The sequence below is a fragment of the Homo sapiens genome, chromosome 2, assembly GCF_000001405.40.
Source record: "Homo sapiens chromosome 2, GRCh38.p14 Primary Assembly".
NCBI lineage: Eukaryota > Metazoa > Chordata > Mammalia > Primates > Hominidae > Homo > Homo sapiens.
This window is the reverse complement of record NC_000002.12, coordinates 73,956,142-73,981,500: the sequence shown is the minus strand read 5'-3', so window position 1 is coordinate 73,981,500 and position 25,359 is coordinate 73,956,142. Positions and strand designations below refer to the sequence as shown.

The window sequence follows — 25,359 nt, the reverse complement described above, 5'->3', positions numbered from 1 at the left end:
CCTTTTAGGAGCGGGTTTGGCGGGCGCCACCCCAAGCGGCCAAGGGCGGAGCCTCTTTTAGGCGACTGCTCCCGCGAGGTCAGAGCCGGGCTGTGCCGCTGCCCCCGGGACTAGAAAGGGAAATCTCCTTGCTAGAGGAGGAAGCCCTAAGAACTCAAGGGAGATAGGGGTGGCAGGGGCATTTCCCTGGATGCCTGGAGCATGGAGGGTGCGAAATAAGGAGGCTTTCCTACCCCATTGATGAGCTGAAGTTGATTCCGCACGGGGGAGGAAAGGGACAGGAAGCATAATTGGATGTGCAAGCCTGTGGTTCTTCAGGAAGTTAACACGTGGAACTAACACTGTTGGATGCTGCTGAACTCTCAGGTGATTGATGTGACTAACCTCCTCAGGTACTTGACCTCTCTCCTCTTCAGCTAATGAGTAATTTGTCCTTATTTAAGAATGAGATTTGCGTATGGGGACCTTTTGCAGAAATGTAAATACATCCCGATATCCATACCTGGGCTTGGTTTTAAAGACTGAAGGTATTGGGAGGTTTATTTGATTTTGGATGTATTACTTCTTTGGTCATGTATTGGCTAAAAATATTATCAACTAATATTTGCATAGATCTTTCCCTTTTCAAAGCACTTCCACACACATTATCCTTCTGTCTGCACAGAGTGGCAAATACAACAAATGTGCAAATGTTAACTTTCCTTATCTATGACATAGTTTTTATTATCATCACCATTTTACAGATAAGAGAACTGGCGCTCAGTGAGGTAATTTGTCCAAGGTCATTCACTACTACATGTCAGAATCCAGGACCTACAATCCAGGACCTCTGAAATTAGCCCACGAATGCTAGAGCTGATACCAGGCAGAAGCTGGCATTTTGCTCTCAGGGAAAGGGAGGTTCATTAGTGGGTTGCTTGTGGACCTGCATTGGTGAGTGTGACACGTGTAGGATATCTATGCTATGCGTTTTTGGGTTTTTTGTTTTGTTTTGGTTTTGGGTTTTGGTTTTTTTTTTTTCTTTGAGATGGAGTCTCACTCTTGTCACCCAGGCTGAAGTGCAGTGGCGCGATCTGGGCTCACTGTAACCTCTGCTGCCCAGGTTCAAATGATTCTCCTGCCTCAGACTCTCGAGTAGCTGGGATTACAGGCACCTGCCACCGCGCCCAGCTAATTTTTGTAGTTTTAGTAGAGACTGGTCTTGAACTCCTGACCTCATGATCCACCCACCTCGACCTCCCAAACTGCTGGGATTACATGAGTGAGCCACCGCGCCCGGCTACTACGTTTTTCAATAGCCCCGCAAATGTCCTCATGTTTTATAACTAGTTTTGTGACTGCATTTTGAATTTTTTGAATCAAATAGGCTTCATTACTTGCAAGGAGAATGCAAGGGTACCCATCATAATGGAAGGAATACCCAACAGGGATAAAGGCCTTGGTGCCCCTGAGCCTTGGTTGACAGGGTGTATCAGTCAGGATCAGTTAGATTGTGCTGGAGTAATAGACAATCCCCAAATCACAGTGGCTTTACATAACAAAAGTGTATTTCTCAATCACAAAACGTGTCCATTATGAGTCATTAGGAGCTCTGTTTCCCGTAATCACTCGGGCATCCAGGCTGCTGCAACTGGACATGCATCTCCTCAACCCTGAAGGCAGGAAACAAGAATGGGGCAAATCTAGCACTGGCTCTTAAAGCTTTTCCCTGGAAGTGACACACATCACTCCTGCTGTCATCTCACTGGCCAAAGAAAGTTACAAGGGGGCAGGGAAGTGCAATAAGTACAATCCTGCTATGTGCAGGAAGGATAAGCAGAAGTATTTGGTTAACAGCACTAACACACAGGGAGTGTGTGTGAGTGTGTGAATGTATATGTGTATATTTGAGGTATGTGCAATTACACATACTGCCCATTTCCAGAGCATTCCTCCCTCCTGGCGACACATATTAGAGATTCCTAGTGTAAAGGACTGTCTTACCTTGCACTAGAGCAGGTTCAGAGATTTAAACTAAAGCGAAAAAAAATAAGAGTTGAAGGAAACATAGTAGAAGAGGTGAGTGGCTGTGGGACAAACTCAGTAGAAATTCGTTTGTAAATAGAGAAAGAAATCCAGGAAAGGAAGGTACTCAGGGTGTATGACACAAGGAGCCTGCCTACTAAAGGAAACTTCTAAAACAGCGTAGCTTTAGCAGAGGCGTTTCCTGCCGCCTTGCCATTAACTCCCACTCATCCTTCCTGGTTAAACTCAGGTGACGCTTCAGGAAGCCTTTGATGATCTCTCAAGATTGGGTAAGGGGCCCACCAATCAGATCACAGGTATGCCTGGGTCTGTCCCATCCCCTCAGCTGTGGACAGGACCACATCTTACTCAGTGCCAGCTGCTATATAGAGAATACATTAGAGGAGGGTGTCAGAATAGAGGCAGAGAGAGCAGCTAGAAGGCTGTTGCAGAAACCTAAGTGAGAAAACAAAAATGATGGTCTCCATTAGGGTAGTGGTGGTGGGGAGGGAGAGAGGTATCAAGAAAGATTTACGAAGTCAAACCCACAGGACGAGGGCATAGGAAGGGAGGTTTCTGGAAGAACAACAGGGTAGTTGGTAGTGCCAGGGGGCCCAGAGAAGGTGGAAGTTGATCAATGAGGTCAGCAAGAACACATCCCATTTGAGGTCCATTTTGACAGCGCCCACAGAGAGACCCAGGAGCAGCCCCTGTCACAGCCTGAGATTCCGGGGGGGGGGAGGGGGGCGGTGGAAACCAGGTCCTATGAGCTGCCTCTTGGTTAAACTCTAACATCGAATCAAGGTTAGTATTTTCTTGTTTAAAAAAATATCAAGCCGGGCCTGGTGGCTCACGCCTGTAATCCCAGCACTTTGAGAGGCCAAGGCAGTCGAATCACTTGAGCTCAGGAGTTCAAAACCAGCTTGGGCAATATAGTGAGACCTCAACTTTACAAAAAAATTAGCCAGGTGCAGTGGTGCACACTTTGAGGTGAGAGGATCACTTGAGCCCGGGAGGTTGAGGCTTCAGTGAGCCAAAATTGTGCCATTGCACTCCAGCCTGGGCAATGGAGTGAGACCCTGTCTCAAAAAAAAAAAAAAAAAAAAAAGTATGTGTGTTGGGGGAGCGGGAAACACAGAAAATACATATAGTATAAAAGTGGTGAAATTCCTGAACTACACATCATAGGAATCCATTCAGAACAGTGCTTTATAGAAAGAGCAGAGCATCCCTGAAAGATTGGTTCAACTTCAATTGGCTTGTCCCCTGATCTTGTTTCCATGTGTTGTTTCTGTCCCATCTCCTGCTAAGTAGGAGCCTGCTTGTCCCATTTGAGACTTGAAGATGATATCAACCCCTTTCACCTTCGAGGCTTCCCTTCCTCATGGCCTTTTGTGGGTGAGGATTGAGTCCCATTTGTAGGTACTTGACAGTGCTGGGGCACCCATCCTCAGAGACCCTGTTCTTCCCACTTGGATGTAGTGCTCCCCTATCCCCCACGATATCTTCCCCCTTCCCCATGCACTGAGATGCTCCCGCTGGTTCCTCGAGTTCCATTTTCAGCTCCTGTGTGTACCAGTTTTTGGCTGCAGGTGAGGTAACTCCCCCCTCCTGGCCTCCTTCCAATCTCTAAAGATGGGACTCATGATACCTCCTAAGCAGACTCCTTTGCAGAGGATCGAATGAAGCCAACCTATGCCAAAGTCCCGCCTCAGACCTTGGTGGACAGTAGGCACTCAAACTGTCCTATACTTTCATTTCCATTGAGTCCCCTGATTCTTCCTCCCACTTATCAGAGAAATGGTCTTACCCTAGTCTAGCCATAGGTAACCATGACAACCAGAGTTAAACTATATACAATAATCAATGCAGACATTATGTATTACAGAGGGTCATCAGATATAATGGCATTCAGGTGCCCAGGATAAGATTTGATATTAAGTAGGAGCCCCTAGCCAGCCTCCCCAGGTGGAGACAGTTTGCCAAGTGCCTCCCTTGTTCTCTCTTTCCCTGCATATTCAATCAACACTAGGTCCTACCAGCTCCAGACTAAACTGTCCTGAACTGGTGCCCTTTCTCAGGCTTCCTGCTCTCCCCTTTTCAGCCTGCCTCCCTTCCCCTCACTCTGTAGTTTCCCCTCACTCTGTAGTCTCCCCTCTCACAGACACAGATTTCGTTGCCGTTGATTCAGACCTCCTGGGCGTGGGCAGGCAGGGTCCTGGAATTGAGATGACGAAGTGTCTGGGCCATCCTGTAGCCAGTCAGGAATATAAGTTTCAAACTCCTGCTACTCAAAGTGTGGTTGGTCTGTGGGCTTGCAGCAGCGGTACCACTGAGAGTTTCTGGAAGTGCACTATCTCAGCAGGCCTCAGAGCTACTGAATCAGACTTTTTTTGTTTTTTGTTTTTTTCCTCAAGAGACAGGGTCTTACTCTGTTGCCCAGGCTGGAATGCAGTGGCCTGATCATAGTTCACTGCAGGCTTCAACTCCTGGGCTCAACTGATCCTCCTGCCTCAGCCTCCTCAGTAGCTAGGGCTACAACTGTGTGCTACCCACCCTGGACTAATTTTTAATTTTTTTGTCTCACTATGTTGCCCAGACCAGTCTCAAACTCCTGGCCTCAAACCATCCTCCCACATCAGCCTCCCCAACTGTTGGGATTATAGGCATGAGCCACTGCACCTGGCCAGAATCTGCATTTTGACAAGACTTTCAGGTGATTCCTAGGCACCCTAATAATTAAGAAGCTCTGCTTTAAAATCCCTCAGAAGGTAGAGTTAGTTAGGATAGAGATAAAAAGGACACAGGCATCCCTCGTAGAGCTGGGAGAGGCCTTCTTGGAAATGCCTGCACTAATAGATCGAGTCATATGGTGTTAACACCAGCATCATTCTGGGGAGATACGCTGTATTCTCAACATTGTACTATTTATCTGCTAAACCAGGGAGGGATGTGATTAGCAGATGTCTCGGTCTTCTTGCCATTCTTTAGGACATCGACATGACACCCAGCCATCTCAAACCATGTTAAAATTGAATTTTAACATCCAGCCTCTAGAAAACAATCTATTTATAGTGAATCAAAAATCTGTAAGATAGGCCAGGCGCGGTGGCTCACACCTGTAATCCCAGCACTTTGGGATGCCGAGGCGGGCAGATCGCTTGAGGTCAGAAGGTTGAGACCATCCTGGCCAACATGATGAAACCCTGTCTCTACTAAAAATGCCAAAAATTAGCTGGGCATGGTGGTACGTGCCTGTAGTCCCAGCTACTCGGGAGACTGAGGCACAAGAATCGCTTGAACCCGGGAGGCAGAAGTTGCAATGAGCCCAGATAACACCAGTGTACTCTAGCCTGGGCGACAGAACAAGACTCTGTCTCAAAAAAAACAAAACAACAACAACAAAAAAAAAAACCTGTAAGATAGAAAATAGGGTGTTAAAAGCTGAAAGAGGCCAAAGGGGAACTGACAGATTGGCCACTCGGACAGGAGCATGCAGCGGACCAAAGGCATGTGAGCGAGGTGATGGTGGCCACTCAGATCCATAGACCCATGAGCAGCTTCATGGCTGCTAGAAAAAAAGAGGAAGAAGGACAATGAAGTGCAGGAAGCCTGGAAGCAACCCATGAAGTCTGGGTGAAGAGCTTAGGTTTATAAGCACATGGCTGATCTGTGTAGAAAAGGTAAATGCAGTGTTTTTGTTGTTGTTGTTGTTTTGTTTTTGTTTTTTAATGTCTCAGGGGCACAAGGGAGAGGCTGCCCCTTGGCCATGAGAACCCTCTTTGAAGGTAAACAGGTAAATTCCTTTATGCAGCATGTTGCCAGGTCTGCTGCTTCCTGTGGGCACTCCTGGGGCAAGGGCACCAACATTAAGACTGAGAGAAAAACCACAGGATTAGGGTTGTCAGATTTAGCAAATGGAAACACAGGACTTCCAGTTGAATTTGAGTGTCAGATAAACAACAAATAATTTTTTAGTATACATATGTCCCAAATATTACATGCCAGAGTAACCCTCCTCAAGAGCAGAGCCTGTCCCCGAAGCACTTGACCAGGAGAAACTTGAGCTGAAGGAAAGTTTCTCCCTAGGGCTGAGAGAGCCCAGTGGTACTATCCTAAGACCCACCCTATTTTTCAAAACAGGATGGAAGTGGGCTTTGTTAGTTTTGGGGTGGGGCAGTCTTTTGTGAGAGGCTATGCCATATTGTTTGCTTTGTAAAATGTTTTGCCCTGCAAAATGTTTTTTACGTTATGCTGTATTGGGCAAGGTAGTTCAAGGAACATACACCATAAAAGCAGTGTAGTTTTGATAATTCCAAGTCAGATTCCTGTAGGAGATGGACAGTTTCTTTTTTCTTTTTCTTTATTTTTTTTGAGACGGAGTCTCGCTCTGTTGCCCAGGCTGGAGGGCAGTGGCGCAGTCTCGGCTCACTGCAAGCTCCGCCTTCTGGGTTCACGCCATTCTCCTGCCTCAGCCTCCTGAGTAGTTGGGACTACAGGCGCCCGCCACCACATCCGGCTAATTCTTTTGTATTTTTAGCAGAGACGGGGTTTCACCGTGTTAGCCAGGATGGTCTCGATCTCCTGACCTCGTGATCCACCCTCCTCGGCCTCCCAAAGTGCTGGGATTACAGGCGTGAGCCACTGCGCCCGGCCAGGAGATGGACAGTTTCTTAGTCCGGAACAATAAAATCCCATGTAGCCAGATAAACTGCTTCTATATAACCAGGCATTTATTTATTGAGACTTGTAGAAGAAAATGTTGGTAACAATTTACCTCATCAAGGAACATTTCTAAGCATAAAATCAATAAATCCTTTTGTATGTCAACAAACCAAATTAAATGATAAACTGAGGAAAAATATTTACAAAACAAATGAACAGGAAAGGTGTTATATACTTAGTAGGTAAGAAAAGATGGACACTCAAAAGGGAACAAAAAGGCAAAGGATGTGAACATTCACAAAAGAAGGAATGCAAATGGCCAATAAAGACATAAAATGTCCAGGCCCGGCATGGTGGCTCAAGCCTGTAATCCCAGAACTTTGGGAGGCCGACGTGGGCAGATCACCTGAGGTCAGGAATTCGCGACCAGCCTGGCCAACATGGTTAAACGAAACCCTGTCTCTACTAAAGAAAAATACAAAAATTAGCCAGGCATGGTGGTGTTCCCCTGTAATTCCAGTTACTCGGGAGGCTGAGGCTGGAGAACTGCCTGAGCCTGAGAGGTGGAGGTTGCAGTGAGCCAAGATTGTGCCACTGCACTCCAGCCTGGGCCACAGAGCAAGATTCCATCTGAAAAATAAAATAAAATAAAATAAAAACTTTATTAATTAATAACTATAGCAAACTGGCAGATCACAAAATAGAAATACTCAGTTTTGCAAAGACTATAAGGATCTAAGTACAAGGATCTTCTTGGAGGACTTATAACAGCAAAAAAAATTAAATTAAAATAAACTTAAATGTTCACATTAAAGAATGATTAAGGCCAGGTCCATGGCTCACACCTGTAATTGCCACACTTTGGGAGGTCAAGGCATGAGGATCACTCAAGCCCAGGAGTTTGAGACCAGTCTGGGTGACATAGGGAGACCCCATCTCTACAAGAAAAAAAAAAGAAAAAGAAAAAGAAAAAAAAATTAGCTGGACATGGTGGGTGTGCCTGTGGTCCCAGCTGCTCTGGAGGCTGAGATGAGAGGATTTTTTGAGCTCAGGAAATTGAGGCTACAGTGAGCCATGATTGTGCCATTGCATTCCAGCCTGGGTGACAGAGCAAAATACTGTCTCAAAAAAATTACATAAAATATACACGAGGATTGGAAGCAAATATATCAAAATATAAACATTGGGTCTCTGGATTATTTTTGTTTTTTTCTTAATACCTGTTTTCCCTAAAATTTCTACAACAAAGAGGTAGTAGCATTCCTATCATTGAAAAATAGAGAATTATGTTTGAAAAAGAAGACAAGTGGACCATCAATGCCTTTAAGTAGGTCTTTGAGAGAGAAGGAAGCAAATTCTGATAATTCTCTAATAGAATGACCAAGACTTTTCACAGAGGAATCACTTGGAGAACTTGAGGAATACCAATGCCAAGGCCCCACTTCCAGAGATTCTGGTCGTATGGACCTGGTGCCCACCCCATGGGGTCTTTGGCAATGTCAGGTCATGCCCCGAGGCGTGGGGACTCCAATGTGAAGCCAGGCTGGGAACAACTGCTTGCAGGAGTGATCAGGAGTTTTGGAGTTTAGGATCCTGTGGCCTGTTGGAGGAGCTGCTGCAGGAGGAACGGCAAGACCTGGTTTCAAGCCTAGTAAGTGGTCCTTTAGGCACATAATTTAAGTGAATCTTTGTGTGTCTATCTGTAAAATGAGAATATTTAATGTCTACCACAAGAGTTGTGGCTTCGAGGAGAGGATAAATGAGGAAGTAGTGTGTGAAATAGAAAGCATATACAAATGTACTCTTGTTAGAACCTGGAAATTCAGACTATAGCAATGACTTTTGATCAGTGGAATATCCTTGACAACACTGGGGCAGATGCAAATAAGCAGGTTTGTTTCAAAACTGTCCATCCTATAATTTGATTTGATTTGCAGATCTTTTAGGCAGGTGCTCTCAAACGTGGATGCCTGGGGCAGTCCTAGCCAGAGGGCTCATGAGCAGGGGACAGCAGCCAATAGATCTGGGTTGGTTCAGATCATTTGGTCGTTCCTGCTTTGAAAAGTGGCTGGTCTCCAGGAGTCAAAACCTTGTTCTCCTGACAATGTGCCTTTGCACTTTTAACAAACACACCAGAATGTCTACTTCCAAATAAATATTCTTATCTAAATTGTTTCCTTGTGAGGTTGTATTACCATAGCTTAAAATGTCTTGGGAATTCCTCGTTTGAGATTGCCTTTATCTAAGCTACATCTCTTTTTTCTGAGTATTTTCAATCAGTGAATTTATTCTCCATCCTCTGAAGAAGAGCTTAATTTTAGAAAGCAGCCAAAAATATCTTTCAGAACCAAACCTGGTGATTAAGGTGGTAGTCTAACCTAGGTAAGACATTTTATTTTTTAAGTAGAAAGGTCACTTGTAAGGTACATGTGTATCTGTCTTGCTACTCACTGTACTCTGTGCCTGACATACAGACACTCAGTGTGTTCTTGTTGAATGATGAACAGAGCCTGGCTCTACTGGGACCCATAAACTGGCTCCAAAGGCAACTCCGAAGAGGTTTTTGAGCAACGCCAGCCTATTTGGCAATAATAATTTTTAGCCTGTATGTTGATTAGAAGTCAGTCCCTTTCCTTTATAAGTATTCTACATCTATACCTTATGCATTTGATCAAGGAGAAACTGTGGTAGTTCCTTGTACCTTACTGAGGCTAATGCTGGACTTAGTCTTCTAAAGCAAGCACTAATCAGTGACATTGGACAAATCCAGGCATTTTTGGAATTATTTTGCATGCCAACCCAAACCACAGAACATCTGAGCATGTGGTGGGTTAACAAGGACAATGCCTGAAACCCAACTCACTTTTTCACACAATGATTTCAAGATGCTGACATTTGAGGTGTACAGAGTTAAGCAGCTCATAGGCAGGGCAGCAAGCACTGGCTTGAGTGTCAGGACACCCGGGCTATTCCAGCTCTGCTGCTAACTAGCTGTGTCTGCTTGGGAAAAACGTGTCTTACACACTCCCATCTGTACAAACACACCCTTAGTCTTTATTTACGTACCTATACAATGATCTAGCACCATTAAAATCATCATTCTAAACTGAAAAAAGGCAGACAACAGTAGACACCCCACCGGCAAGGTCTGCCCAAGTACTGGGGAGATTTTTGGTGCTGCAAAAACCAGTTTGAGGCCGGGCTCCGTGGCTCACACCTGTAATCCCAGCACTTTGGGAGGCCGAGGCGGGTGGATTGCTTAAGGTCAGGAGTATGAGACCAGCCTGACCGACGTGGTGAAACCCTGTCTCTACTAAAACTACAAAATTAGCCGGGTGTTGTGGCGCATGCCTGTAATCCCAGCTACTCTGGAGGCTGAGGTGGGAGAATCACTTGAACCTGGGAGGAGGAGATTGCAGTGAGCTGAGATCGCACCACTGCACTCCAGCCTGGGTGAGAAAGCGAGACTCCATCTCAAAAAAAAAAAAGCCAACAACAACCACCACCACCACAAAAAAAACCCAGTTTGAGCAGAGAGAAAGTCTCTGCTCTGAAGGAGAAAAAAAGCCAAAGATGAAGCTCACTGCTGCTGGCACTGAAACTGAAGGGAACACGCAGGTCATCTGAGGTCAAGTTCAGGGCATGCAGCCAGCCACCAGGCAGGAAGGAAGCAGAGTGAATGCCTGCCTGCTCTCCCAGCCCTCCACCTTCTGAGCAGAAGTCCCACACCGGTCCCCTTTGCTGGGTCTCCCAAGGGACCTCAGAGACTCCTTCCAGACCCGGGCATTTGGGCTCTGGCCTCAAAGATACAGCCTACGTAGAAATGCTGAAAGAAACAGATAAGACAACAGTGTGAGCAATGGAGGCTTGGCTGGCCTGGCTTGTCTTTGCCAAGCACTCTATTTAAAACATTTGAGCATTTCTTGCCTGCTATTGCCCTCTACTCTAGCCTTGCGGTCTCCCTGCCCAACCCCACCCCCTCACAGGCTCTTTTCTTAGCTCCCTGCCTTTGCTTATGGTGTTTACTCCAAATCACCCTCAACCCAGTCTTGCTCTAAAAATCCTACTTCACTTAATGCCCAGCTAGAATGCCATGTAATCCAGGAAGCTCCTTAGCTGGAAGCAGCACTCATTTTGGTCCACAGTGGTATCACGCTTAGGGGCATGAGGTCTGATCCCACAAGGACCTCGACGCACCCCACCCTTCACCATCACATCCTGTGTGTTCCTTCCTTTGCCCATGCTGCTCCCCTGCTTGGACCGTCCTTCCCACCCTACCTGCCCGAATGGTCCTCACCTCACCCTTCAAGGCTCAGCTCAGCTGTACTTTGTGAAGCACTCACCAGCTCTTTCTTTCTCTCCACTCACATGCACCTACCAGTTCCATTTACTGAGTGGCTACTCTGCCCAGAAGTTTGTCTACAATATTTCTAATTCTTGGTACCACTTGAAAAATAGTTGCAAAATTAGTTTCATTTTCAGATTTAAGGAAAACAGAAGCTCAGAGAGGCAAGTTGTCCAAGTTGCGCTGCTGGTGAGTGGCCCAGCCAGGATTTGGAACCAGATTTGTGTGATGTCTAAACCCAAGTCCTCCATGTACTCCATGCTGCTTATTCATTCATAAGGTGGATATTTTAAGCAGGAGACTGTCAGGACCTTAAAGATGGTCTTCCTTGCTTTCAAAGCAAGGGACCTAAAATATAGAGATGTTCAGTGACTTGCCCAGGGTGATACAGTTTCTCCCAATCCCCTTCTCTGATTCCTCCCATGTGCCAGCGCTGGTGGCCAGGGAACTATCTATCACTGCAGAGGCTGTCCAGTACCAGGTAACGTTTGTCCGGGGTCCCCAGTCGTAAGCCATGGGGCACACACCTGCACTGCAAGCAGGGCCCCAAATTAGGCAAGAGAGAATGTTGCAACAAGCTCAGAGCCACAGGATATATTAGCACAATTGTATACAATGATAAAATCCTAAACAGTGGCTTCAAAGTTTATAGCTTTCTGGCCAGGCATGGTGGTGGCACATGCCTGTAATCCCAGCTACTCGGGAGGCTGAGGCAGTAGAATAGCTTGAAACCAGGAGGTGTAGGTTGCAGTGAGCTGAGATTGCACCACTGCACTCCAGCCTCGGTGACAGAGCAAGGTTCTGTCTCAAAAAAAACAAAACAAAAGTAGTTTACAGCTTTCTCATGTAGAAGTCTGAGGAGAGAGTCCAGGGCTAAAGTTGCAGTTCTGTGAAGTCAGGGCCTGAGGCTTCTTCTGTCTTTTGCAATTCTCTCTTTATGAGGCACTTCATGATTCAAAGTGGCCTCCAGGATCATGGGGGAGGGGGTGGCTCTGAGGGCAGAATCAAAGGGCTCATCATCATCATCTATTTCTACCATCCGTTCTAAGGATCTTACAGTCACGTAATCTAGTCCAGAGTCAGAGAGGCTGCTCAGAGCCCACCTGCAGCTGGCCTGGGTCTTAGCGAGTACGTAGCTAAGTATGTTAGCAAGTATGTTGCTCGCAGCATGGAGGGGTAAGGGTGTGGGAGGTGTTTCATTGCTTAGTGCAAGGGGTCTTTCTCAGGCTCAGCCTGCGTCCCTTTTTCTTCTTTCTTCCTGCTTTCCATTTGTCCAGTATCTATTGAATTACCCACTCCCATGTGCCAGGCACTGGAGATACAAAGTGGGATAAGACATAAGCCATGCTCTAATAAAGAGACAAAGAGATGATTTTAGACCAGGCATGGTGGCTCACACCTGTAATCCTAGCACTTTGGGAGGCTGAGGCGAGTGGATCACCTGAGGTCAGGAGTTTGAGACCAGCCTGGCCAACATGGCAAAACCCCATCTCTACTAAAAATACAAAAATTAGGCGGGCATGGTGGCGGGCACCTGTAATCCCAGCTACTCTGGAAGCTAAGGCAGAAGAATCACTTGAACCCAGGGGGTGGAGGTTGTACTAAGTCGAGATCACACCACTTCACCACTCCAGCCTGGGCGATGAGTGAGATGCCGTCTCAAAAAAAAAAAAAAAAAAAAAAAAAAGACAGAGAGAGATGATTTTAATACTATGTGTAAGAAAAACAGATAAATGCAAAAGGCATTTGACAGGAGCTCGAAGGGAGGTGCCTGACACAGCCAGGGTAGAGTCAGCAGAAGCTTCCTGAAGATGGCAATTGGGGATGCCGAGGGGCTTAGAGGTGAAGGGCACTCCAGGGAGAGCGCACAGCATGAGCAAAAGCAATGAGAGTGTGTGTGTGTGGGGGGGTAGGGCAACCATGAGTTTAATGTAAACACAAGCAGAGGAGGGTTTGGAAGGATGTGTGCTTGCTCAGGGCCCCCGGGGGGCCAAAGGCACATTCTGGAGGCACCTGGTGGCGTTCAAGGCCCTCTGGCTCCTCTGTGGAGTAGGGATTTGGGGAGGCCATAGCAAGAGGCAGAGAGCCTGGGTGGGAGGGCTGGGTTAGGAGTGGAGGTAGGAGAGCAGGCAGATCTGAGAAATGTTAGCGGGAAATTGGTAGCACCAGACATTTGCCTGGCTGCTGGAGATGAGTGACAGAGAGGAGTCAGAGGATCCTAGTTTTCTAGCTGGGTGGCTGGAAGGATGATGGGGTCACTGCTGATATAGAGAATACAGGATCTACTGTCATGCCACCCTGAATGCACCTGATCTCATCTGATCTTGGAAGTTAAGCAGGGTCGGGCCTGGTTAGTATTGGATAAGAGAATAATACAGGGTCTTCTCCCAGAAACCTTTCTTGCCTTGGGGAATACTCCCAGCTTCACAGTAGGATATAACCTTTCCTATGTTGCCTTTTGCATAGCTGATCTTAAAGACATGCACATGGGCCCTTTTCTTTCCTTCCTTCCTTCCTTTTTTTTTTTTTTTTTTTTTTGACAGAGTTTTGCTCTTGTAGCCCAGCCTAGAGTGCAGTAGCAAGATCTCAGCTCACTGCAACCTCCACCTCCCAGGTTCAAGCGATTCTTCTGCCTCAGACTCCCAAGTAGCTGGGATTACAGGTGCATGCAACCACGCCCAGCTAATTGTTTTTGTATTTTTAGCAGAGACAGGGTTTCACCATGTTGGTCAGGCTGGTCTCGAACTCCTGACCTTAAATGATCCACCTGCCTTGGCCTCTGAAAGTGCCAAGAGATTACAGGTGTGAGCCACCATGCACGGCTGGGCCCTTTTCATTTGAAAGATTTTAATTCAAGTGTCCTCAGGAGATGAAGTTCCCTTCACTCTGGTGTAGTGAATGAAATATAGGAACACAGTTTGTACCATGGAGTCTCCAGGCCAAACCAAGCTGGAGTTTCAGCTTAGGTAACAAATGTTACCTAAGCCCAGTGGTTCCTAATGGAAGATTTGGTTCTAGAAAACCCATCTGTAGTAAACATCTGCCATTCTTTTTGGAGAACTAGTAAATCATTCCCCTTCCTGTGTCTGAGGACTTATTCACCTTGGTTGGGGATAGACCCCACCTCTCACAACGAAGATGTGATGTCAGATACTGTATTTCTCAGACTCCCTTGCACGTACTTGGCATGTCAAGGGCATGTGGTCTAGGTTCTGCAAGTCAGATGTACCTACCAGAGTCTTGGGTCCATGAGGAGTATTCTGTGACAGCAGTAGTAATGACAGGGAAATCACATTCTCATAACAGCCATAGTGGACCCTCCTGGGGACTTGCAAGTGATGCACCCTAAAACCTAAGCTTCCTTAGGTTCACAGTAACTTCCTGCTGTTTGCGATTAAGGACTGTGACTAGTGGCATATCAGTCCAACAGGGTACATGGCTAAGGCAAAAGTGGAGTCTAGGAGAGCACAGACATTGTTAAGAGGACAGTAAGTGAAACCATTTAGCAAGAACAGAGGATTCTTTCACAGGGGTGGGGAAAGATAAGGCTGGAGGGCTCCAAAAGCCCACTTAAGGAGCCTGGTCATCATCTTCTAAGAGGTATCAACATTGTTTTAATGATTTTTATTTTGGAATAATTTTAGATTTACAGAAAAATTGCAAAGACAACACAGAGTTTCTGTGTATCCCTCATCCAGATTCCCCTAATGCTAACATCTCACATGACATGGTACACTTGTGAAAACTGACAAGTTACATCAATTAAACTCCAGACTTGATTTGGATTTCACTAGTATTTTCCACTAACGAACTTGATCTGTTCCAGGATCCAATTCAGGATACCACTGTGCATTTGGATACCAACTTTTTTTTTTTTTTTTTGAGTTGGAGTTTCGCTTTTGTTGCCCAGGCTGGAGTGCAATGGCACCATCTTTGCTCACCACAACCTCCGCCTCCTGAGTTCAAATGATTCTCCTGCCTCAGCCTCCCAAGCAGCTGGGATTACAGGCATGCGCCACCACACCCAGCTAATTTTGTATTTTTAGTAGAGATGGGGTTTCTCTATGCAGACTGGTCTCGAACTCCAGATCTCATGATCTGCCCACCTCAGCCCCCCAAAGTGCTGGGATTACAGGTGTGAGCCACCACGCCCGGCCACCAACATTTTTAAAGAAGAATATTAACATGATTAAAGGTTTTTAGGCTGGGTGTGGTGGCTCACACCTGCAGTCCCAGCACTTTGGGAGGCTGAAGTGCGTGGATCACTTGAGGTCAGGAATTTGAGACCAGCCTAGCCAACATGGTGGTGTTTACTAAAAATACCAAAAAAAAAAAAAAAAAAAAAATTAGCCAGGCATGGTAGTGTGCACCTGCAGTCCCAGCTACGTGGGAGGCTGAGGCAGGAGAATCACTTGAACCCAGGGGGCGGAGGTTGCAGCGAGCTGAGATCATGCCACTGCACTCTGGCCTGGGCGACAGAGCAACGCTGTCTCAAAAAATAAAAATAAAAATAAATTTAAAAAAAATAAAGGTGTTTTAAGAAAATCATCTGATAGCAACATAAAGGGTGAGCTGGGAAGTGGAGTAGAAGGCATCTGTAAAGACACTCCAGAACCTTCACCAAGCTTCCACATACATTCTAATGGCTAGTGCCTGAAGGGCACTTTATGAAGGTGCAGTTGCTGAGAAGAGAAAATCTAGCCCCCCAGAAACATCTCTCCACCTGTTCAGGGACCCAGGGGCCAAAGGCACAGCTAAGATGCACCTGGTGGCCTCCACCTAGCAGTGCTGGCAAACTAGGTTTTCCTGCCCAGGCTACAAAATTTGGCTGGTAAATCCAGACAGGCAGCCAAGGAAATGCTTGCTTGCCTTCTTTTCTGAAAATCTAGTCTTATCTCCCTTATGTAATGGTTTGGTGTTATGCAGAGAACAGGCTCTGGAGTCAGGATGGACCTAGGTGTGAGTCCCAGCGCTGTCAGTTACTGTGGGACTCTCGTTGAGTTACTGAACTCTGAGCTTCAGTTTCCTCACTGGTAAAAACTGGCACCTTAAACCTCCTTCACAGGATTATTGAGAGGGTTGAATAACATTTAGAAAGTGTTCAGTAGGGTAGCTGGCACACAGTAGGCATCTGATAATCATCAACTCCTTTGACAATTTAAGAGTAGAGTCCAGGCCCCAAATTTCTTGCATATTCTCAGTGCTTAGTACACAGAAGGGACTTCCTCAATTGATGATCGTAATATAGAGCTCACAAATAACCCAGGAACCTGAGAAAGGGCGGAGCGTGTCTCCAGTCAATAATTTCTTTATTTAAAAGTCTATGTTAGGCACTCATGAAACAGCAATAAATAAATAAATGCCAGGCATTGTACTAAATGACCAAGACATGGTCTATGTCAAGAAGGTCAAGGCCAAGGACATCAAAGAGATGTCTCCAGACAACTTTCATTCAGGTATGACACGTTTGACAGAAGTTTAATAAACAGGGTGCTCAAGGGCACAAAGACTGGACATGGTGTGGGGTGAGGGAAGGGCTCCACAGAGAGAGGAATGGTGGGCTTGGGCCTGGCAGGGTGAGTAGTTCTTCCAGTGTAAAAGCTTGGGGTGGTGGGTGGGGGGTGGGAGAGAAAGAGAGAGAGAGAAACATTTTGTCATGTGGGAAAACACATCTGAAGCTATGGGTGGTCTCGTGGGGTTTATGGTAGGAGTGATGGGAGATAGGGTTATAAAAACATGGTAGCTCTCATACCTCCACATAGGAGAGGCTGAGGGGCAGCTCTCTGGTGGCAGGGGTGGGGCAGGTGACCTGACCTAGCAACCACTGTTCTTTTTTATACATCATTTAGTTGATGTGGCTTGGGGAAGAAATGATTACTGGTAGTAGTAATTGGGGGGCAGGGGAGGGGCCATTCCTGCCATTCCTAGGCATGGCCACTGCTACAATGGGGACCATATGACTGCTATGGAAGAGGAGGAGAGGTGGGATGAATGCTGGGGAGTCAACCACAATTTCCACTACACCTTCAACTAGAGAGACAGAAACAGGTGCAGAGAAGATTTGAAAGATTTCAGAGATGAATAGGCAGAATTTGTTGAGAATGAGTGTAAGTGGGGGGTCAAAGATAACACCAAGGTTTTTAATGTGGCCAACGGGGTGAATGGAGAAGCAGGGGAAATGGCTTTGCTGGCTGGGTTGGGGTAGGGTTGGTGGTGGGTATGCGGGTGGGGAGAACTGTTTTGTACCCATTGAGCATAAGGGATCCGGGTTGTGAAATCCATAGTTTGATATAGCTCTAGCTTTAAAAGACATCCTCCTGTTTGGGATTTGCTTCAGAATAATGAGAGTGGGGGTAGGCTGTAGGTGAAACCAGATTGGTTCTGAGTAGATAACCGAAGTGGGTGAGAAAGTCGAAGTTGGCGAGAAAGTCGAAGTTGGCGAGAAAGTCGAAGTTGGCTCATGCTAAGAAGGTAAAAAGCTGCCCTGCGACTCAACAGGCTGGGAGGACATTACACAGCTAAAGCCAGTCACAAAAGTTACCATGAAACAGTATTTCTCCCACGAGCACGTTGTAGCCGTAAAGTGTCATAATGACCCCTTTCCTTGTGTGACTACTGCTTTCTGACTCATAGAGAAACCTTGTTCTTTAAAATCATGAACTATCAGAAACTTTGCTGTGTGAAATGTTAAATGTTATCAGTAAAAACTTTGCTGTGTGAAATGTTAAATGTTATCAGTAAAAATTCCTTTTTTTTTTTTTTTTGGCCAGAAGATTCTAAGTCACTTTGACACAGAGAAGTTGTCTTGGTTTCCAAGCCAGGTTCAGAGTTTCACGTAAGGAGCTTCTGAACACAAATTCCATGTTTGTCTTAACTTTGTACTTTCTAGGGAAACAAACCTGAGTTCACCGAACAGTTCAGAACAGACTCCTTTATACACAGTCCTGCTTTGCTTTGCACCTATCCAAACAATGCTTCATTCAATTTTACCAAAACTCTAGTTTTCCTTAAAATCCTGTAACGGTATATTTTCCTGTTTGGTGAGATGCCCCACAGTTCCTCTGGTATGTGGTCTTCCTCATTGCAATCTGACCTTCTCAAACTCAAGGTTCGTTTCTGGTGATCTTAGGCTGATTGGGCTAGAATGTGGGTATGGGGGTACAGGGGTGCTTGATACCATTCCCTCTTGCATATGATTCACATTTTCCATAAAATTTCCAAGTTCATAAGAAGTCTTCACCCCATGAGAATAGTAGGAGCCATGATAGTGTTTGAGATCTGCGGAAAGCAGAATAGCAGCCTCCCTCCCACCCCGCAGCTTAGATTTCCCAGAGGGGGCCAGTGTAATCACGTGGGTCCTTGAAAGCAGAGAAGGATTCCTGGCTGTGGTTAGAGATGCAACACTACTGGCTTTGAAGATGAAGGGGCCACAAGCCAAGGAATGTGGGCAGCTTCTAGAAGACAGAAAAGGTAAAGAAACGGAGTCTCCTCTAGAAACTCCAGAAAGAAAAGCAGCCCTGTTGATAACTTGATTTTGTCCCAGTGAGACCCATGTCAGAGTTCTGACCTCCAGAGCTGTAAGATAATAAATGTATGCTGCTTTAAGCTGTTACATTTGTGGTAATTTGATAATGGCAGTGATAGAAAACAAATCCAAGATCACGCAGAGGGAGTGGACGAAGACAGAAATGAGCCAAGGGTACCTTGGGGACACCAACACTTTCGAGGAAAAGAGAAAAAGATGGCAGCCCAGGAAGCAGAAGGGGAGGCATCAAATGTAGGGGAGCCAGGAGAGACCCATGAAGGAGAAAGTGGTTCAGAAAATGTAAACTGCTATTTAAGTGAGGGCTGAAGAAGGTTAAATAGTATTAAAATTTTAAAGTGCATGTTATTTCGTTGCATCACTTCCTCTGTGATTCTGGTATTTGCATATAACAAACAATCTCTTTTACTTGAAATTATCACCTTCTGAGAGTTTGAGAACTTTCACAACCTTGATCCTTGTTATAAACCCATCAAGGTAATATTCAGGTTCCAGAACAGCAGGTTTTACCACATCGTAAGCCAGAAAGAAATGCAGCTATTTCTTATGTGTTAATCCAAATTTTTTGACGCTGGGAGTTGGCCTAAACCAAGAATAACAGCCATCCAGACTGGCCTGAGTGTAGAGTAGGGACCGTTTTAGTGTGACCTCCACTCTCTAGCGTCCACTTTAAAAACCCACGGTGCCCAAGGTTTCAGCCTGCCTTCCTGTGGTCCTAATCTGCACACTTACAGGCTCCACCCAGACCTACTTGTCCCTCCCCCACAATTTAAGATTCAAAATTACTGCTGCTCATTAATATGTTTACTCTCTACAGATGATCTCGGCTACAAATTTGGAAAATGACAAATATCACCTAGGTTACACTGTTGATGGCCCGCACTATCCTAGAGGATATTTACTTTTTTTTTTTTTGAGACAGAATCTCGCTCTGTCACCCAGGCTAGGGGGCAGTGGTGCAATCTCGGCTCACTGCAGCCTCTGCCTCCCAGTTCAAGCAATTCTTCTGCCTCAGCCTCCCGAGTAGCTGGGACTATAGGCCTGCACTACCATGCTCAGCTAATTTCTGATTTTTAGTAGAGATGGGGTTTCACCTTGTTGGCCAGGCTGGTCTCGAACTCCTGACTTCAAGTTATCCGCCCGCCTCGGCCTCCCTAGGTGCTGGGATTACAGGCTTGAGCCACAGTGCCCAGCCAACGTTTACTTTCTAAAAGGCAATATTTACCAATAGAGATGCTGAATTTGTAGACTTTCAGGCTTTAAAACTAGGTGAAGAGTGTAGTGGCTTACATCTGTAATCCTAGCACTTTGGAAGGCTGAGGCAGGAGAATCACTTGACACCAGAAGTTGGAGACCAGCCTGGGCAACATAGTGAGACAGTCTCTACTAAAAATAAAATAATTAGTGGGCGCGGTGGTGTGCACCTATAGTCTCAACTACTCAGGAGGCTGAAGTAGGAGGATGGCTTGAGCCCAGGAGTTCAAGGCCGCAGTGAGCTGTGACTGCACCACTGCACTCCAGCCTGGGCAACACAGTGAGACTGTTGTGGGGGAAGAAAGGAACGAAGTACTGATACATGTTACCACTTGGATGAACTTTGAAAACATTATGCTCAGTTAAAAAAAAAAGTTACAGGAGACAACATAGTATGATTCTATTCATATGAAATTGCAGGAATAGGCAAATCTACAGAGACAAAAGTAGACTGGTTGTTGCCTAGGGCTGGGAGTTGGCAGCAGGGAAACTTGGGGGAGATGGGGTATGGGCTTTCTTTTTGGGGTGATGAAAATGTTCTGGAATTGTGGTATTGGTTATACAGCCCCATGACTACTATACTACAAACTATTGAATTGTATACTTTATTTTTTGTTTTTATTTATTTATTTATTGAGATGGAGTTTTGCTCTTGTTGCCCAGGCTGGAGTGCAGTGGTGCGATCTTGGCTCACTGCAACCTCTGCCTCCTGGGTTCAAGCGATCCTCCTGCTCTGCCTCCTGAGTAGCTAGGATTACAGGCACACACCACCACACCCGGCTAATTTTTTGTATTTTTATTGGAGACGGGGTTTCACCATGTTGGCCAGGCTGGTCTCAAACTCCTGACCTCAGTTGATCCACCTGCCTCAGCCTCCCAAAATGCTGGGATTACAGGCGTGAGCCACCACGCCTGGCCTGTACACTTTATTTTTAAGAGATAGAGTCTCGCTCTGTCACCTACAAGTGCAGTGGCAGGATCATAGCTCACTGCAGCCTCCTGGGTTCAAGCGATCCTCCCACCTCAGCCTCCCAAGTAGCTAGGACTACAGGCTCACTCCACCACACCTGGCTTATTTTTTTAATTTTTACTTTTTTGGAGAGCTGGCCTCTCGTTATGTTACCTAGGCTGGTCTCAAACTCCTGGCCTCAAGCAATTCTCTTACTTTGGCCTCTCAAATCTCTGGGATTACAGGTGTGAGCCACTGTGTGTGGCCTGAATCGTACAGTTTAGATGAGTGAATTGTATAATATGTGAATTATGTATCAATAAAGCTATTAAAATGTTTTAAATAAGTAGGATAAGGAAATTGCCATACTTTTATATTAAAACATTACTTTTTTTTTTTTTTTTTGAGACAGAGTTTCGTTCTTGTCGCCCAGGCTAGAGTGCAGTGGTGTGATCTCAGCTCACTGCAACCTCCGCCTCCTGGGTTCAAGCGATTTTCCTGCCTCAGCCTCTCAAGTAGCTGGGATTACAGGCATACACCACCACGCCCGGATAAATTTTGTATTTTTGGTAGAGATGGGGTTTTGCCATGTTGCCCAGACTGGTCTTGAACTGCTGACCTCAGGTGATCCACCTGCCTTGGTCTCCCAAAGTGCTGGCATTACAGGTGTAAGCCACCTTGCCTGGCCTATGTATTTGTTAGAAACCAATCTCACATTCATTTCCCCAAAGCATAAAGGACAGAAACACAGATTTCTGTCTTCTGGGGCACTCTTACGTCCCCAGATCATTCATCTTCCTGTGTACCTGCAGAACCGTCAAGGGTTCAGTGCAGATCTGCTCCTGTGAATCATGGACCTGCAGGCTTCTGGCAATGGAGCACTTCAATCCTATAGAGCCATGTATTTTTCTTCCCTTAACAATAAATTCTATTTGAAGGGTAAAGAGCACAACAAAAAATTTTTTTTTTTTTTTTCCTGCACAGAGAGATCCACTCCATTAACGTTATCTGGAAGTCATTGGGTAAGGTATTTAGACAAAGATAGAGTGCCGGGCGGGCCAATCTTAAATGTCAGATGCTTAACTTTTGGGTTCTTGCTGTTTTCTACCTTTTTCTTTTGGCCAGGTTCTTTAGCTCTAGGACAAGGGTTTAAGTTCCCCACACCTGTCCCCTATGTCAAGAGTGGCAGATGGGAAGAGATAAAGAAGCTTCCTGGAGTTCATGCTCCATTTCCTGCTCTGGGGGGCTCACATTTAAGATCCCACCCACTCTTGAGCCACTTTATTTCCCTTCTTCATGCATGGCAGGTAGGGCTTGGGTTAGAGTTCTGGGAGCAATTTGAAAATTGCTAGTTGATATGGTTAGGCTTTGTGTCCCCAGCCAAATCTCATCTTGAATTGTAATCCCCAGGTGTCAAGGGAGAGACTTGGTGGGAGGCGACTGTATCACCGGGACAGGTCCCCCATGCTGTTCTCATGGCAGTGAGCTCTCAAAAGATCTAATGGTTTTATAAGGCAGGTTTCCCTGCTCTTTCTTGCACTCGCTCATTCACCTGCCACCATGTGAGATGTGCCTGTTTCCCCTCTGCCATGATTGTAAGTTTCCTGAGGCCTCCCCCACCATGCGAAACTGTGAATCGATTAAACCTCTTTCCTTTAGAAATTACCCAGCCTCAGGTAGTATCTTTATAGCAGTGTGAAAACGGACTAATACACTAGTCTAGAGGTGAATTTAGAGCAAGCACCAAGAGATACATGCTGAAATAAATGAGCAACTGAATTAGAAAAACAAGCATAACTTAAGTAAACTTTATTTTCAAAATGCTTCAGGTACAAAAGAAAACAATGGCAAAGTCTAACAATAATTAACAAACCAGCTCTTGAGCGGCAGAGTGCTCCAGGGATGAGAGGGGCTGGGGATGGAAAGGTGGTTGGGAGACACAACATTTTTCTAGCTTCAGAAAGTCAGGGAGCCCAGATCACAGCCTGAACTTCATGGTATTGGTTACAGATTCTTTACAAAGGTGTTTACCTGTGGGAAGGAGAAAATCAGAAGTTTAATTTCACATTTTTAACAGAATTTTCAATGGTCCACCCCCAATGCATATGCAGCCAAGCCCATGAGGTTTTTGTGAGGAAAGGAAAATAATAGGCATGGAGAAGAAATGTGGGCAGCCCAGGGTCATATAGCATCAAGTGGCAGAGCTGGGAATAGAATCCAGTAGTCTCATTTCCCTAGTTTTAGGATGCCTTAGAGAAGAAAGTCAGCTGGCAAGCACATGTTACAAGTCAATTATTTAACAATTATTAGTCCAGCATACTTTAGAGAATAGGGATATTTGTAATCTGCACAAGATTCCATAGGCCTTGGAGTGTGAAATGCAATGTGAGATGCAAAGCACAAGACCCATGATATTGAACTTTGAAGCAAAGGCCAGAAAGATAAAAGTACAACAAAGGAAACCACCAGAAAACAGGAGTTAAAGTCCTTCCCACCTCTCTCATGAGGTCTTCTTGTTTGGTTACTTCCTCAGAAAAATCATCATTGACATCCAACACCAGCACTGGAATGTTCATCAGAGCCTCAAAGTGGAGCCTATAAGAAGCGTGAACGTTTGGGGGACAGAAAAAAAGAAATGTAACTTGAGTCAAGTTTCACATACTCGCCAAGTCTTACTCAGAGAACAGATCTAAATTCAACATGACTTTTCAAAGAAACTGCATGTAAACTGCATTTAAAAAAACAAATTCAATAAAGTTGGCCGGAAACAGAAAGGTTGAGGTTTCTCTTCATTCTTGAGAGTGATACTAACAAACAGTCAGAGCACCAAACATTTTAAGTGGACAACAAACCAAGCCTAAAGGGAGGACAGGCAGAAACCAGGAATGCCAACTTAGTAATACTGACAATTTCTCTAACATTTTCAGCCCTTCATGCTGAGCCAACTATCACCATCAATCACAATGTTCAGTCTAGGGAAATGTTAAGAAACAAAGAAAAAGCTGGAGAAATACAATCTAATAAAAAGGCCCTTGGAATGTAAAGATTATATTCAATATTAAACTTCTTCTGGGCATCTCACTCTGTCGCCCAGGCTGGAGTACAGTGGTGCGATCTCGGCTCACCGCAATCTTTGCCTCCCAGGTTCAAGCGATTCTCCTGCCTCAGCCTCCCGAGTAGCTGGTATTACAGGCGCCTGACACCACACCTGGCTAATTTTTCTATTTTTAGTAGAGACAGGGTTTCACCATGTTGGCCAGGCTGGTCTTGAATCCTGACCTCAGGTGACTGCCTCAGCCTCCCAAAGTGCTGGGATTACAGGCGTGAGCCACGGTGTCCAGCAATATTAAACTTCTGAGTTGGAAAATGCTTGACATTTCCAACCATTTCCAGTATATTCTGAACCTTCCTACAGGGGGCTGCATGCTGAACTTGTTTTTAACAACTGGCTGTTGGGAGCCAGGTCTCTGTCTCTGATACATTCTTTTCTCCCCACTTACTTCGTTGTCTTGTGAATAAGCCAGGCTTCGTGTTGGCCATGCAGCTGCTCTAGATAGGCCAGCTCAATTCCTTTCTCCTCCTCCCTGGCCCTCTGGTACAGTCTCTTCAAACAAACCTAAAAGACAGTCCCCAAGCCCTGATGAGCTCTTTGCTGTTTTGGCTGCTACAATGCAGTCTTCGGGGGCTCTGAGGCCCACCCATAATGTCTATCTTGGGCATTACAAGCCATGCCTTTGCTTCTGCTGTCTTGTTTTCTTATGCAATCAGAGGATCTACACCATTCTTTTCCCATCTCCACCTTAAACCTGCTCTTCCTCTGAAGTATCCTAAGTCGGTTAATGATGAACATCATCCATCCAGTCATCCAAGCCACGGACCTGGAATTTTCCTTGTTTTTCCTTCTCCCTACTATATCTGGGAAGTCACTCAATTCTCTTTCATCTCTCTAGAATGTTCTCTCCTTGCCTCTCCTCTCACCTCTGCCCTGGTCGGGTCCTCTTTACTTCTTACCTGGATTATGGCAAGAGCCTTCTGGTTCTGCCTCCTGGAGGCAGGGAAGCATATGGACAGAGTACAGGCCTTAAGGTCAGAAAGTCCAGGAGTAAATTCCTGCCTTCATAAGGTACTAGCAGTGCAGTCCTTGTGGGCTTCTATTTCCTCATTGTCTACCCATCCACAGGTCACTGAGGTAAGTTGTATTGAGCTCCTGGCAAAAGCTGTTCCCTCCTTCCAGTTTTTCCCCTTCACTCCACCCGTCTGTAGTACGGCAATATAATGACATGACTTTCCTTGCTGAAAATACTTCACAGGCTCTTTACCGCCTACAGCCATAGCCCCAGGGTTCAAAGCAGTATGTATGAATAGCATTGCATTTATAAAATGTTAGGTAATTTGAAATATCTCTTTCATGTCATACCAAACATTCACTCAGGAATAGAATGTAAAATTTGCACAGGTCAAAGATAAAACAAAGAAGTGGAAAAACAAGTGAGGCTTGAGACTAACTCTCCTCCCCCGCTGCTTTGCAGAGTGTACATAATTCTATTCTGCATTCATCTGGTAGTGAAGTTTGATGCACACTGGCTCAGAAAATGACAT

The 25,359-nt window shown here is 45.6% G+C and overlaps 1 protein-coding gene, 1 long non-coding RNA gene and 1 pseudogene across 18 annotated transcripts in view, besides 1 other annotated feature; 2 read left to right on the top strand and 1 right to left on the bottom strand.

The window, feature by feature from the left end:
* The first annotated feature begins 61 nt into the window (after positions 1-61).
* DGUOK-AS1 (DGUOK antisense RNA 1) lies at positions 62-23,534 on the top strand. 2 transcript variants are annotated; one of them, NR_104030.1, is made up of 2 exons: positions 62-366; positions 23,294-23,534. It is a non-coding gene; the product is annotated as a DGUOK antisense RNA 1 (long non-coding RNA). The 2 variants fall into 2 exon arrangements; NR_104029.1 differs by having other exon boundaries at positions 62-392.
* Positions 10,290-10,459: an enhancer, noted in NCBI's record as "active region_16037". NCBI's record gives its function as "activates an Ori minimal core promoter by ATAC-STARR-seq in GM12878 lymphoblastoid cells {active_cell/tissue: GM12878}" and the evidence as "EXISTENCE:reporter gene assay evidence [ECO:0000049][PMID:35858748]".
* Positions 13,295-13,378, top strand: RNA5SP97 (RNA, 5S ribosomal pseudogene 97; annotated as a pseudogene).
* DGUOK (deoxyguanosine kinase) overlaps positions 22,555-25,359 on the bottom strand; it is a 32,067-nt gene continuing 29,262 nt past the window's right edge. For 8 of the 16 annotated variants that reach the window (NR_134898.2, NM_001318861.2, NM_001318862.2 and 5 more), the window contains 3 exons: positions 24,261-24,376; positions 23,256-23,355; positions 22,555-22,791 (listed from right to left, as the gene is read on the bottom strand). Coding sequence is in view for 10 of the 16 variants with exons in the window: in NM_001318861.2 (NP_001305790.1) it covers positions 22,765-22,791; positions 23,256-23,355; positions 24,261-24,376 (243 nt within the window). In the remaining 6 variants the exon portion in view is untranslated. Of the gene's footprint in view, positions 22,792-23,254; positions 23,356-24,260; positions 24,377-25,359 lie in introns of those variants that run through there. The other 8 variants (NR_134897.2, NR_134894.2, NR_134893.2 and 5 more) reach the window with 2 other exon arrangements.